Source organism: Homo sapiens, chromosome 4 (assembly GCF_000001405.40).
Source record: "Homo sapiens chromosome 4, GRCh38.p14 Primary Assembly".
NCBI lineage: Eukaryota > Metazoa > Chordata > Mammalia > Primates > Hominidae > Homo > Homo sapiens.
In genome coordinates, this window is record NC_000004.12 from 121,547,611 (window position 1) to 121,561,967 (window position 14,357).

Consider the following 14,357-nt stretch of genomic DNA (forward strand, 5'->3'; position numbering starts at 1 on the left):
ATTTGTTGATCCTGTCAAAAAAACAGCTCCTGGATTCATTGATTTTTTTGAAGGGTTTTTTGTGTCTCTATCTCCTTCAGTTCTGCTCTGAACTTAGTTATTTCTTGCCTTCTGCTAGCATTTGAATGTGTTTGCTCTTGCTTCTCTAGTTCTTCTAATTGTGATGTTAAGGTGTCAATTTTAGATCTTTCCTGCTTTCTCTTGTGGGCATTTAGTGCTATAAATTTCCCTCTACACAGTGCTTTAAATGTGTCCCAGAGATTCTGGTTTGTTGTGTCTTTGTTCTGATTAGTTTAAAGAACATTTTAATTTCTGCCTTCATTTCATTACTTACCCAGTAGTCATTCAGGAGTAGGTTGTTCAGTTTCCATGTAGTTGTGCTCTTTTGAGTGAGTTTCTTAATCCTGAGTACTAATTTGATTGCACTGTGGTCTGAGAGTTTGTTGTGATTTCTGTCCTTTTACATTTGCTGAGGAGTGCTTTAGTTGCAATTATGTGGTCAATTTGAGAATACGTGTGATGTGGTGCTATGAAGAATGTATATTCTGTTGATTTGGGGTGGAGAGTTCTGTAGATGTTTGGTGTAGAGCTGAGTTCAAGTTCTAATATCCTTGTTAACCTTCTGTCTGTTTCATCTGTCTAATGTTGACAGTGGGGTGTTAAAGTCTCCCATTATTATTGTGTGGGAGTCTATGTCTCTTCATAGGTCTCTAAGGACTTGCTTTATGAATCTGGGTGCTCCTCTATTGGGTGCATATATATTTAGGATAGTTAGCTCTTCTTGTTGAATTGATCCCTTTACCATTAAGTAATGGCCTTCTTTGTCTCTTTTGATCTTTGTTCATTTAAAGTCTGTTTTATCAGAGACCAGGATTGCAACCCCTGCTTTGCTTTGCTTTGCTTTGCATTTGCTTGGTAGATCTTGCTCCATTCCTTTATTTAGAGCCTATGTGTGTCTCTGCACATGAAACGAGTCTCCTGAATACTGCACACTGATGGGTTTTCACTCTTTATCCAATTTGCCAGTCTGTGTCTTTTAATTGTAGCATTTAGCCCATTTACATTTAAGGTTAATACTGTTATGTGTGAATTTGATCCTGTCATTATGATGTTCACTGGTTATTTTGCCCGTTAATTGATACAGTTTCTTCCTAGCATCAAAGGTCTTTACAATTTGGCATGTTTTTGCAGTGGCTGGTACCAGTTGTTCCTTTCCATGTTTAGTGCTTCCTGCAGGAGCTCTTGTGAGGCAGGCCTAGTGGTAACAAAATCTCTTGGGATTTGCTTGTCTGTAAAGGATTTTATTTCTCCTTCACTTATGAAGCTTAGTTTGGCTGGATATGAAATTCTGGGTTGAAAATTCTTTTCTTTAAGAATGTTGAATATTGGCCCCCACTCTCTTCTGGCTTGTAGGGTTACTGCAGAGAGATCTGCTGTTAGTCTGATGGGCTTCCCTTTGTGGGTGACCCGACTTTTCTCTCTGGCTGCCCTTAACATTTTTTCCTTCATTTCAATCTTGGTGAATCTAACAATTATGTGTCTTGGGGTTGCTCTTCTAGAGGAGTATCTTTGTGGTGTTCTCTCTATTTCCTGAATTTGAATGTTGGCCTGCCTTGCTAGATTGGGGAAGTTCTCCTATATAATATCCTGAAGAGTGTGTTCCAACTTGGTTCCATTTTCCCCGTCACTTTCAGGTATGCCAATCAAACATAGATTTGGTCTTTTCACATAGTCCCATATTTCTTGCAGGCTTTGTTCATTTCTTTTTACTCTTTTTTCTCTAAACTTCTCCTCTCGCTTTATTTCATTCATTTGATCTTCAATCACTGATACCCTTTCTTCCACTTGATCACATCGGCTATTGAAGCTTCTGCATGTGTCGCAAAGTTCTTGTGCCATGGTTTTTTGCTCCATCAGGTCATTTAAGGTCTTCTCTACACTGTTTATTCTAGTTAGCCATTCATCTAATCTTTTTTCAAGGTTTTTAGCTTCCTTGCTATGGGTTCAAACATTCTCCTTTAGCTCGGAGAAGTTTGTTATTACCGACCTTCTGAAGCCTACTTCTGTCAACTCGTCAAAGTCATTCTCCATCCAGCTTTGTTCCATTGCTGGCAAGGAGCCGCGTTCCTTTGGAGGAGAAGAGGTGCCCTGATTTGTAGAATGTTCAGCTTTTCTGCTCTGGTTTCTCCCCATCTTTGTGGTTTTATCTACCTTTGGTCTTTGATGTTGGTGACCTACAGATGGAGTTTTGGTGTAGATGTCTTTTTTGTTGATGTTGATGCTATTCCTTTCTGTTTGTTAGTTTTCCTTCTAACAGTCAGATCCTTCAGCTGCTGGTCTGTTGGAGTTTGCTGAAGGTCCACTCCAGACGCTGTTTGCCTGCGTATCACCAGTGGAGGCTGCAGAACAGCAAATATTGCTGCCTGATCCTTCCTCTGGAAGCTTTGTCCCAGAGGGGCACCTGCCTGTATGAGGTGTAAGTCGTCCCCTACTGGGAGGTGTCTCCCAGTTAGGCTACATGGGGTCAGGGACCCACTCGAAGAGGCAGTCTGTCCGTTCTCAGAGCTCAAACACTATGCTGGGAGAACCACTGCTCTCCTCAGAGCTGTCAGACAGGGATGTTTAAGTCTGTGAAGTTTCTTCTGCCTTTTGTTCAGCTATGCCCTGCCCCCAGAGGTGGGGTCTACAGAGGCAGCAGGCCTAGCTGAGCTGTGGTGGTCTCCCCCAGTTCGAGCTTCCAGGCTGCTTTGTTTACCTACTCCAGCCTCAGCAATGGTGGACACCCCTCTCCCTGCCAGGCTGGTGCCTTGCAGTTCAATCTCAGACTGCTGCGCTAGCAGTAAGCAAGGCTCTGTGGGTGTGGGACCCACCAAGCTAGGTGTGGGATAGTATCTCCTGGTCTGCTGTTTGCTAAGACCGTTGGAAAAGCACAGTATTTATGGGGGAGTGTCCCGCTCTTCCCAGGTACAGTCTGTCATAGTTTCCCTTGGCTAGGAAAGGGAAATCCCCGACCCTTTGCACTTCCTGGGTGAGGTGATGCCTGCTCTGCTTCAGCTCGCCCTCTGTGGGCTGCACTCACTGTCCAACCAGTCCCAGTGAGATGAACCAGGTACCTCAGTTGGAAATGCAGAAATCACCCATCTTCTGTGTCGATCCCTCTGGGAGCTGCAGACCGGAGCTGTTCCTATTTGGCCATCTTCAAACCTGTCACCCTTTCTTCATCTTAATATAAGCATTTAAATGTATAAATTATCCTCTAAGCCCTGCTATAGTTACGTCACGTAAATTTGAGTTATTATATTCTTATTATCTTTCAGTTTAAAGTATTTTCCAATTTCCTTTATGATTTCCCCATTGATTCATAGATTATTTAGAAATATGTTGTTTACTTTCCAAATATTTGGATTTTTCTCCATACATTTTAATGTTATTAATATTTTTTCTAAGTCCAAAATGGTCAGAAAACATGTAGAATTTCAATTTTTTAACTGTATCTTCTTGAATACGGTTTTCTTGGATAATGTACCATGTGCACTTAAAAAGAATATGTATTTTGCAACCATTGAGTACAGTGTCTTACAAATGTTATTAAGGTCAAGGTGGCTGATAGTGTTGTCAGAGCCTATGTGCCTTTACTGATTTTTGCCTTCTGCATGGAGGGACATTTGGTGAACATTTACATGGGACACAAATGTTCCCCCAGTCTGATCCCATTTTGAGAAGTTTATACACATTATACTCTTCCCAAATCTCCTTGTCATGAATCTTCCAATCTTATTCTTTCTACCAAAGCATTATCCACAGCTTCTCAATCAGTGTGACTCAAGCCTCTGACAGTTCTCCTTCCAGACATAGCAATGAATCAGATGTACTCCTGGAAGTTCTGCCCAGGGCAAGGGATAATTTTCTTTGCTTCAGTATCTTTCAGAGCCACCCGGTGAATGGAACTGAAATGCTACAGGAGTTTGCTTTGGGATGGTAGGTGAGAGCACCCAAAAGCCATGTTCAAATTGTTCTCCAGTTGGTCACATGGAGCTCCACATTTGCCTACAGGTATCAGCTGATGACAAGATGGAAATACAGCAGAAGTTGGTGCACTGCAAGTATGAGTTACATGATTATGTAACTAAATTAAGTCTTAAGTCCAGCTCAGGTCCCATCTTGATGCTTCCACTTGATGATAAAGCCCTGCTGGGTATAACCAAATGTAAGGCTTTATGAATAAAATAGTTCCCATTTTGTGCAGGGCAGTTCAGTTCAGATGGTTACTTGAGGACTCAGGATAAAAGGTTCTGGCTTATAGCAAATCAGAAGCCATTCCTCAAAAAGAAAATAGTTCTTTGGCAAATAAAGCATATCTTTGTTCCAAAACCCTAGGGACTTTCACTGCAATTTTTCCATTAGGTCAAGCCCAGACCTAATAAAGCATTGTGATCTTCTACAGACATTTCAAGGACCACAGGAAACATTAGATCATCAAGGTCAATTGGCAGAGCTTCCTCCACAGCAACATAAACAAACTGAAGAGGCTTCTTTGTTTCAAGTGCCATCAAAGCTAGGAACCTCACAGGTTATGCCATAACTACTTGAGCAATACACTCAAATATGGTAAACATTGCCAACAAAATCCAAAGAAAACCAAAAAGCTTTAGACTTAGTGATGGCGAACTCAAGATGCAGCAATTTGTCTTTCATTTTGAGAAGGATATTACAACTTACCCCAGAATACTGGATATCCAGAAAATTGCCTGATGTGAAAGGCTGCTAAATTTTTCATGAGTTTATTCTTACTCTGGCAAGTGTTTTACTAAGACATATAGGATACCTCCTACTTCCCATTCACCGAGTCTAATCAGCATAATATTATCAGTATACTGGATCATAATAACGTTATTTGGAATACTGAGATAAATGGTATCTTGCAGATCAAATGACTGAGTACTGAGAATTGACAAAACCCTGAGGAAAATGTAAAGATATGCTCCTATCCTTGCAAAAGAAAAAGCAAAATGCTTCTGGTGTTCTTTAATTTTTACAGCAGAGGAAAAAGAAAAAAAATTGTGCTAGATTGATAGTTACCTGCAAGTGCTGGGAGTAATATTGATCTCTTGTGGTAGGAAACCTCACCTGAAACAGCCGATGCAATTGTAGTCACCACATGACTAAGTTGATACTAATCCACTATACTTTTCGAGAATCCATATGTATTCTTCACAAGGTAAACTAAATGTGGATGTACAAGAATAACTACCTCTGCATCTTTCCTTTATTTATTGACATTTTTGATGGTGATACTAAGTTCTGTGAATTTTCCCAGGTTGAGGAATTGTTTTGATTTATTATTTTGGTAGGTAAGGGTAATTTCAGAGGCTTTCACTGCTTCTCCTTGTCAAAATAATTCTAACTCCATGGGTCAGGAAGCAAATGGAGGAATTCTGGTGGTTGGACATATGTATAATCCAGCCATATATCCTGGAAATGGACATACAATCTACAATAGTATGACAGACATTCTGGGTATCTACGAAAAATAAGCCAAAAGTTTTAATCACCTGACCCATACAAGTTCCCACCACTGATGAACCACAGTGGTATTCTGGATAAAAATAATCCCCAAGGTATTCAGTGGGAATTCTCATAATCCCTAAAAGCTATCAGCAGCTCAGAGCCAATAAGCCCCCAAAGTTCTAGTTATTTCTCTGCCCTCAGGGTATGATTACATTAATCAATGGCCTCAGGCCTCTTTCTGAAAGACCAAGAGGAAGATTTGCATTACATGCCTGGGGTATTATCACAGAGGCCTTTTTATCCCCCTTCCCCTTATTCAAAGGTCCTGAGCATGTGAATCACTCAGTAAAGGCTATGGCTTTTATATGCTGGTGAGTCAAGGCAGACTGATTTTACCAAAGTGAGTCTAGTGCTTTTACAATATATTCTCACACATACTCTCCAGGTATGTGTGTATCCTTGGCATACATTACTAAAAAAACAACAGCAGCTATAACTCCTTTAGACTAAGTCATCTTCTCATGGGGTAGACTTTGCACAAATTCTCTGAGGCATGGACTTGAACTCCAGCTACAGGTCAGTTGGCAATGAGGAGTGTTATGGATGGGCTATGACATGAAACTGACATCTCAATTGTAAGGCAGACAGCATAGGTAAGGTCATTTAAGCTATTTAGGAAATGAAAGAACAACTTAGCAGAGAGGGAGGAGAGAAACTCAGTAGTGTTGGGAAGTTGAGGCACTCGTGTTCATCTGATTTTCCAAAACGTCCATCTTTCAATTCCTAGGATTTTACTCTTTTCCATTTGATGTCATAACTTTCACATAAAAGATCTGGCAAATTATGAATTAAACCTACACAGTAGTTCAGCAAACTGCAAGATTTAATTTTACATCTGAGAAAGAATCTATCAGCTCCGGAGTTCGAAGAGATAAGAGATCCTTTCAGTGCAACAACAGAGGTTTTCTAGGATTCTGATAATGTCTTGAATTTAAAATCTTGGCTTTGCAATCTTTGGGTATAGACAGAAGAATGTTTTAGGAGTTTTAAGGCATTACCTAAACAATAACCTTTCAGGACTGCACTGACATGTCATAGCCAATACCAATACTTGCGGAGAGGAGGAGGGATCTACCTGTGATGTAGCGGTGCTGGAAAGTAACTATGACCTTATGGGGCTTGGGGTTATTATACTCCATGTTATAGAGAGAAATAGAGACTCTGAAAATTTGCTGCTCAATAAACAGAAGGGAGCAGAGCCAGGATTCACTACAAGCACAGCGGGCTCCAGAGCTCATGTTTTTTACACTACAACGTCAACCTTACTTCCTAGCTGAGAGCCTAGAAATAGGGCAGAATATGTGAAAACACCCAAGAGCAAGTAGTGACCTATTCCATCTGAAGGAAAGAGTGAAAACCAATCACACCCAAGACCAATCTTAAGAGAATGACGTTTTCTGAAGCTCAACAATCTCCTCCTGCAGGAGGAAACAGCCGGAGTAATAGCAGTTCAATTGCCAAATGTTTCCATCTGGAAGCAATTTCCCTGAAACATAGACACCAGACAGAAAAAGTAACTTAGAAAAATGTAGTACCAGTCAAAGGAAGATAATATATTTAATTTGAAAAGAAAAGGGTTTAATACAAAAACATGGATTAGTGTTCTTTCATTTATGTCACCTGCGTCTCATATTGTCACACTCAGGAGCATGAGCATGTTGTCTAGATAGCTGTTTTTATCAAAACTCCAACTTTAGATTATAAGGAAAACTTATAGTTTACATTCTAGAAATTACTCAATCTAAAAATTTCTAGAAATAGACAAGCCCACCAATATTTCTGATAATCATGACTCACTCAACATATATATGTGTTGGATTTCTATCTTCTAGCTGACATGGGAGTACTCCACTGCTCACTTTCCCTTCAAAGCTCTACCTTTATCAAAGCTATTCTTGATTCCTCTTCATTACATCAGGGAGAAAGCTTTAAGCATCTATTAATTCCCTTTAACAGCTATCTTAACATTTGATAATCTCTTTTTTAATGAGAATGTTATGCCTTAGGCCAAGAGCAAACTATAGGCAATTGCAGAAACAACCAGCTAGAGGCATAGAGAAGGGCAGAACTCCACCTATGGGATAGGAGGAAGGAAATAAACAAACATATGGAGCTATAAATAAAAAAGATTTTCTATAAATATAGGAAAGTATTTAGAGAAAGAAGAGAGGATAATTAACCCAGGATAGAAAAGAAATCAAGCAGATTTTCTGAAACTTGGGATCATTCATCACGTATTCCCCTGAAGAACATTAGCTTTTCCAGAGCACAGTTTGAAAACTTTGGACTTAGCTGAGCTCTCAAGGGCTCTTCCACATGTGTGATTTCAAGAGCAGAGAACAATCCTTTCCATTCCAAACCTATGACGTTTTGTTACATGTTGAAATTTCATTAGGATGATAATGTTAGAAAAGTGTGCAGATTAAATCTCATGTGAAAAGTATTGTTGTGTTACTGTATGTCATTGAGGAAATAATTTTATGCTGGTCCCTTGCCTTACCACTCTCACAGCACTGCAGAGAAGCTTGTATGTGCCAGGGAGTGTAACACAGATTCAAAACTATTTTTTTAAAAAACAAGACATTCTGTTCTCAAGCCACAGAGGCCAATGTAAGGTCCTTCACCAAATAACCTAGGGCTTTTAGTGACCCTGAGGTAGGAGTTGGGTCTCAACTCCAGAGGCCAGGGTTGGACTCAGACCACATTGAAAACTAACTGAAACAGGGCAGAGTCAAAAGCACCTCTCCATAAGACACACCCACCAATGCTATGTCAGTTTACCATTGGCATGGCAATACCTGGAAATTACCCACCCCTTTCCATAGCAACAACTTAGCGATCTAGAAGTAACCACCCTTTTTCTAAACATTTCTGCATAATCCGCCCCTTAATTTGCATGTAATTAAAAGCAGGTATAAATAAGACTGCAGAACTGCCCCTGAGCTGCTACTCTGGGCACACTGCCTATGCAATAGCCCTGGTCCACAACGAGCAATGCCTCTGTTGCTGCTGTACACTGCTTTATAGTAGGTAGGAAAGGGGAAAGCCAAAAGGAATCCTAGAGTCCATTAGACTCTAACAGACAAGTCCAAGGTCTTCATCATCAATTTAATGCCCTCAGGACAATTCACAATCATTACCAAACTAAGGCTCCAGATCCTTTTACAGCTTCATACCTGTATACTCCTCATGGATGTCCACCAGCACTTCAAATTCAGTGGGATCATAACTGATCCATTACCTTCTCACCAAAACCTCTACATTCTCTGTCTCTGCTATAAATAGTAACCTTGTCATCTACTAGTTTTCTAATATAGGAAATTCAGCAAATCTTCACTCCTTCCTCTTTTAAGTCTGATCAACTCTGCCTTCAACATCCTTAGCCTTTGCTCTTATTCTCTCTCATCTGAACTACTGCAACAGCCATGGAACCAAGTGATCTCCCCAGACTGTTCTCTGCTTTCTTCAATCCCTCTCACAGTTGCTCAAAGGCATCTTTCTAAAACATAAATCAGATTGCACACCTTTCTGGCCGCAAAACCTTGGTAGGTTCTTATTTACTTCATGATGAAGACCAGTTCCTAAGCATGTCTCTAGAGTCCTTTACAAGTTGATATCAACCTGCATTTCCAGCCTCTTTCCCTATAGTGCCAGTGCTACATGCCTTATGTTTCACTGCACAAAACTTTGTTTTATTCTTCTAATGTATCTATGTTTTTCCAAGTGTTGTGATATATATCTGAAACGATCTTCTCTTGTTCTTTATGTGACAAATACCTACTTATCTTTTGCAAGATCTGGCTCTTGTATCACTTTCCCTAAAAAATCTTCCTTCCTCCCCTAAGCTACTAGTTGCTCCTTTCTCTCTACTATCATCATTCTCTCTGCCTGCCTCTCCTGGGTTGAATTGCGTCCCCAAAAATATATGGTCAAGTCTAATATGTTTGGCTGTGTCCCCAGCCAAATCTCATCTTGAATTATAGTTCCCATAATCCCCACGTGTCATGGGAGGGACCTGGTGGGTGGTAATTTAATGAGTTCTCGTGAGATCTGATGGTTTTTTAAGGGGCTTTTCCCCCTTTTGCTCTTGGCACTTCTTGCTGCCTCCATGTGAGGAAGGACATGTTTGTGTCCCCTTCCGCCATGATTGTAAGTTTCCTGAGGCCTCCTCAGCCATGTTGAACTGTGAGTCAATTAACTTCTTTCCTTTATAAATTGCCCAGTCTAGGGTATGTTTTTATTAGCAGCATGAGAATGGATTAATTCAAAGTCCAAACATCTCATACCTGCAAATGTGACCTTATTTGGAACTAGGGTCTTTGCAATGTAAAGAGTTGAGATAAGGATTAGGTTGAGCTCTAATCCCATAACTAGTGTCATAAGAAGGAAATTTGAACACAGACCCACATGGGCGAAATGCCATATGAGACAGAGACATAAATTGGGGTGCTGCATCTCCCAGTCAAGGAATACCAAAAATTGCTGGCAACAACCAGAAGCTAGGAGAGGGGCATAAAACAGATACTCCCTCAGAGCTTCCAGAAGGAACCAACCTGGCTGACACCTTGACTTTGGGCTTCTGGTCTCCAGAATTGTGAGAGAATAAGTTTCTGTTGTTTCCAGCTACCAGCTGTGATATTTTGTTACAGCAGCCCTAGCAAAATAATGCACCAATCAAACTAATACAGCAAAGTAATAAAGTTATCTTATACTCTATCACAGTTCTTTGCTTTACATCATCTTCCACCTAGACAACAAAATCCTGCACAACAAGGCTTATACCTTGTTTGTCTTTGTACCTCACTCCTGTTTCCAATACTTCTTCTAGTTCACAGTTTCTGTTAACTTCCTTGACAATCTGCAGGATCAGTGATTTTGACGAGCCATTGGCCTTGGTTGAGAAGATTCAGAGTCTTTTTGAGAAGATGTATGTGCTCAAGGTACCAATAATCACAGAATAAAAGAGAAGATAAAGGAAGATTAGGAGGAAAGGCTGAGATAAGACATCATTATTATGGTAGACACATTGACAGAAATGGCATATCTTACCATGCTATCAAATGCTTTCTTTTTTCCATGTGTATCCTCTTTTTATTTCTTGCTGAAGAAGTTTAAAGTAAATCTGAGACATCATTTCATTTTATTCCTATAAACCATAGCATGTATCTCTAAAAATATGAAAATGTTCTTTTGTAACTACCATCTTATTATCAGAGCTATCAACATTAATAATTCCTTCATATCCAACCAATGTCTTTTCTAAATTCACTTTTTTTTCTTTGCAGATAGTTTGTTTAAATTAGAATCTAAACAAGGCACATAAATTACATTTGCTCCATCAAACACTTTCTGATCTTGTCATTGTTAGCCATTTTTCTCTAGAAAATGTTCTATTTTTAAAGCCTCCGCTTACAGAGGACAAGTGTGGAATGTCTATATTTTTGATGAAAATTGATAGCTCATGTTTGAGATTCTGCCTGCAGTCATGATTTCTTTAGCCTTCAGAGTATTTGGCCCACCAAATGTTAATTTAAAGTTTTCACTCATTGCTAATCTTTTAAAATCAATAAATTTTACATAAAATCCAAAGTGGGGGATTCTCTAGCAAAAGGTCACTGGCAAACAAGAGACCTCATTCCCATGTGGCAAGAGCGGCCAGACTCCAAGAGGTGGAGCCGGTCAGGTGATGCTCACTCTCTCCTGTTTCCGCAAGCCCCAGCACACTGTCCCCTCTTCTAGGTGATTTCATTTACATATATTTATCTGCCTGGAGTCTGAGCCCATAAACTGCCACAGGGATAAGGATGGTAAATGTGCCCCAAACATTTTCAAGGAAGTTTTTATTCTAAAATGTTATTCATAATTTCAAATAGTAATTATGAAGGAAATGCAAGCACGAGTCTGTACGCGAAGATAAGCAAATTCTTCATGTTTTTGTCCAGGAGATCCAGACTTTGATATTTTCATTAGTGAAACTATCACCCAGAAGATGTAACCCTTACCCTTATTTTTTCACTCTGCATAACAGCTAACAAACATTGTGAGGCAAAGGAAAGGGCACAGATATTACCTTTGCTATTTTGATAACCCAAATGACTTCAAACCTGGGTTTGAATAAATGCCCCTGTGGTATTTACTTTATCGTTTAGTTCAGTAAGAAAAATTCATAACTCTAAAATGCCCTTTATATCACAGCATCAGCTCACAGGCACCCACAAAAAAATAGAATTTCACTTACAATTGACATCTACTTTGCTAGATTTGCCCTTCTCCTCATCATTCCATTTTCCCCTGGAGAAACAGAAAGCACAAAACTAGGTTCACGCTGAAAACTATAGGAAAGAGAAATCTTTAGATAGAAAAAAAAATGAATGCCTCTACTTTTAGTTCCTGAAAGGCATAAGATTTTTCTGAAATTAAACAGCATTGGCCTTGCCAATTTAAGATTTTCTCTGTTGAGACACTAATCTCCATTAACATGTACCCTTGATGTATGAGGTTTCCTCTTCATTTATCCTTTTTAAAATGAGCTTTTGTGGGAGGAAAAGATCTGAAAACTCATCCTGTGACTACTCCGCTCCTGAGGGAATAACCTTGAGAGTCAGATTTCAAAATCCTTTCATAGGAGGTATGGCTGATGGACAGTATTACTTGAGTTCCTTGGAAATGATTTTCACTGAAATGGTTGCCAAGGACTTCCACCTGGCTTGCACTGAATTATTATATTACATTGTGGGCATTTTTGAGATTTTCATTTCTTCAGAGAAAAAGAGTGATTAGGAAAAAGTTGAATCATAACAAGGAGCAAATATCGATTTTTTAAAGTTTGTTTTCCAGATGTTTTGCGCCATTCTTGACCTAAGTATTTCCTAATGTACTGAGTTCTTGTCTTTTCTAAGTATCCTCTCCCATTAGAAATGGCACTGTGTTAGAAACAGTCTCTATCAAGATTCCCAAACTGAGACACTTAATAAAGGTTAAATCAAGAATTTACTCTCAATGATGAAAAGAAAAGAGAAACAGAAAAATACAGAAAATCTCAACCTAAATTAGTTAAAAGCTTCCTGTAGCCACAGAATAATTGAATTTCAAGTCATAGAACAAATATCTGGAAAGACAGCAATTAAAGCAAGTCTACAAAAACCCAACTGGTATACTCAGAAGATGGGCCACAAGATCATTGCATTGTGTTTTTTAGTTGTTGTTGTTTTGTTTTGTTTTTTGAGACGGAGTCTTGCTCTGTCGCCCACGCTGGAGTGCAGTGGCGTGATCTCAGCTCACTGCAACCTCCGCCTTCTGGTTCACGCCATTCTCCTGCCTCAGCATCCCGAGTAGCTGGGACTACAGGTGCCCGCTACCATGCTTGGCTAATTTTGTTGTATTTTTAGTACAGACGGGGTTTCACCATGTTAGCCAGGATGGTCTCGATCTCCTGACCTCGTGATCTGCCCGCCTTGGCCTCCCAAAGTGCTGGGATTACAGGTGCATTGTGGTTTTGATTTGCATTTCCCTAATCATCAGTGATGTCGAGCACTTTTTCATACGTTTGTTGACCATTTGTATGTCTTCTTTTGAGTATTATCTGTTCATGTCCTTAGCCCACTTTTTGATGGGATTGTTTGTTTTTTTCTTGCCAATTTGTTTGAGTTCGTTGTAGAATCTGGATATTTGTCCTTTGTCAGATGTATAGATTGTGAAGATTTTCTTTCACTCTGTGGGTTGTCTGTTTACTCTGCTGGCTGTTCCTTCATTCAGCGATATTTAAAATCATGTTTTCATGTTTCCCTCCCAAAAAAATTCCACTAGAATTTTGCTTGGAATGGCATTCCACCTATCAATTAATTTGGAAGAAATGAGCATATTTACTGTCTTTTATTTTTAACAGTTCTTTTGAAAGTTATTCCTAAGTATTTATATTTATATTACTTGTTGAAGAGGATGAATTTTTTCATTTTGCTTTCTATTTGGTTTTAGCAGATTTAAATGAATACAATTGATTTTTATATTTTCATTTTATATGTAAGTGGCTTATGGATGCCTCTATTAGTCCTGTGAGATTTTTCAGTGGAGTCTCTTGGGTTTTCTACATAGATTATTTTACTCTCTATGGATAATGAAAATCCCCTTGTCTTAATAACTGTACCTCTTACTACAGCCCTAACTCATTGAAATTCTCCCTCTTTACGTTTTAGTGAGTCTATGCTTTCTATCTAGTCTGTTTCTCTCTCTCTTTTGTTACTCCTTAATCAGGTGAATTTTAGGCATATTCTAGACTTACTGTTGTGAGTCCCTCCATTACCCTGGTGAATATTCTCTTAACCTTTACCTGCAGTCCTGATCTTTCACTTATGCCATAGACTCATATTTCCAGAAGTTTTAAGATATTGATACGTGGGTGTCCCATCACTTTCCCAAACCAAACACATTCATTATAGATTTCCTTTACCAACTATCTTCGTTATGTTTGTTGTTGACATCATTTCGTTTTTTCTCCTACTCCAGATCCATTACTATTATAGTCAATTCCTCATTCTTCATCTACTCTGTCCAGCCTCACATAATGCCTGGACTTTATTCATTGTACATGCCTCTCAGATTTTTCATTCCCTTTATCCTCTCAAGGTTATGAGTCTAATGGATACCTCAGTGGGGACCGGGCTGTCTCTCCTCCTACTTAAAACATCACTTTCAACCTGCTGCTCTCCTGCTCAAGGTCTACAATAGGTCTCTGCTTTCTCTAATATCAATCCCAAACTCCTTTACCTATAAGGCCTTCTGCAGTCTATATA

At 39.3% G+C, this 14,357-nt stretch overlaps 1 long non-coding RNA gene across 1 annotated transcript in view; it reads left to right on the top strand.

Moving 5' to 3' along the window:
* The first annotated feature begins 3,857 nt into the window (after positions 1-3,857).
* Positions 3,858-14,357, top strand: part of LOC105377401 (uncharacterized) — a 31,447-nt gene continuing 20,947 nt past the window's right edge. The window contains exon 1 of the long non-coding RNA XR_939166.2: positions 3,858-3,978. This is a non-coding gene — a long non-coding RNA (uncharacterized LOC105377401). The remainder of the gene's footprint in view (positions 3,979-14,357) is intronic.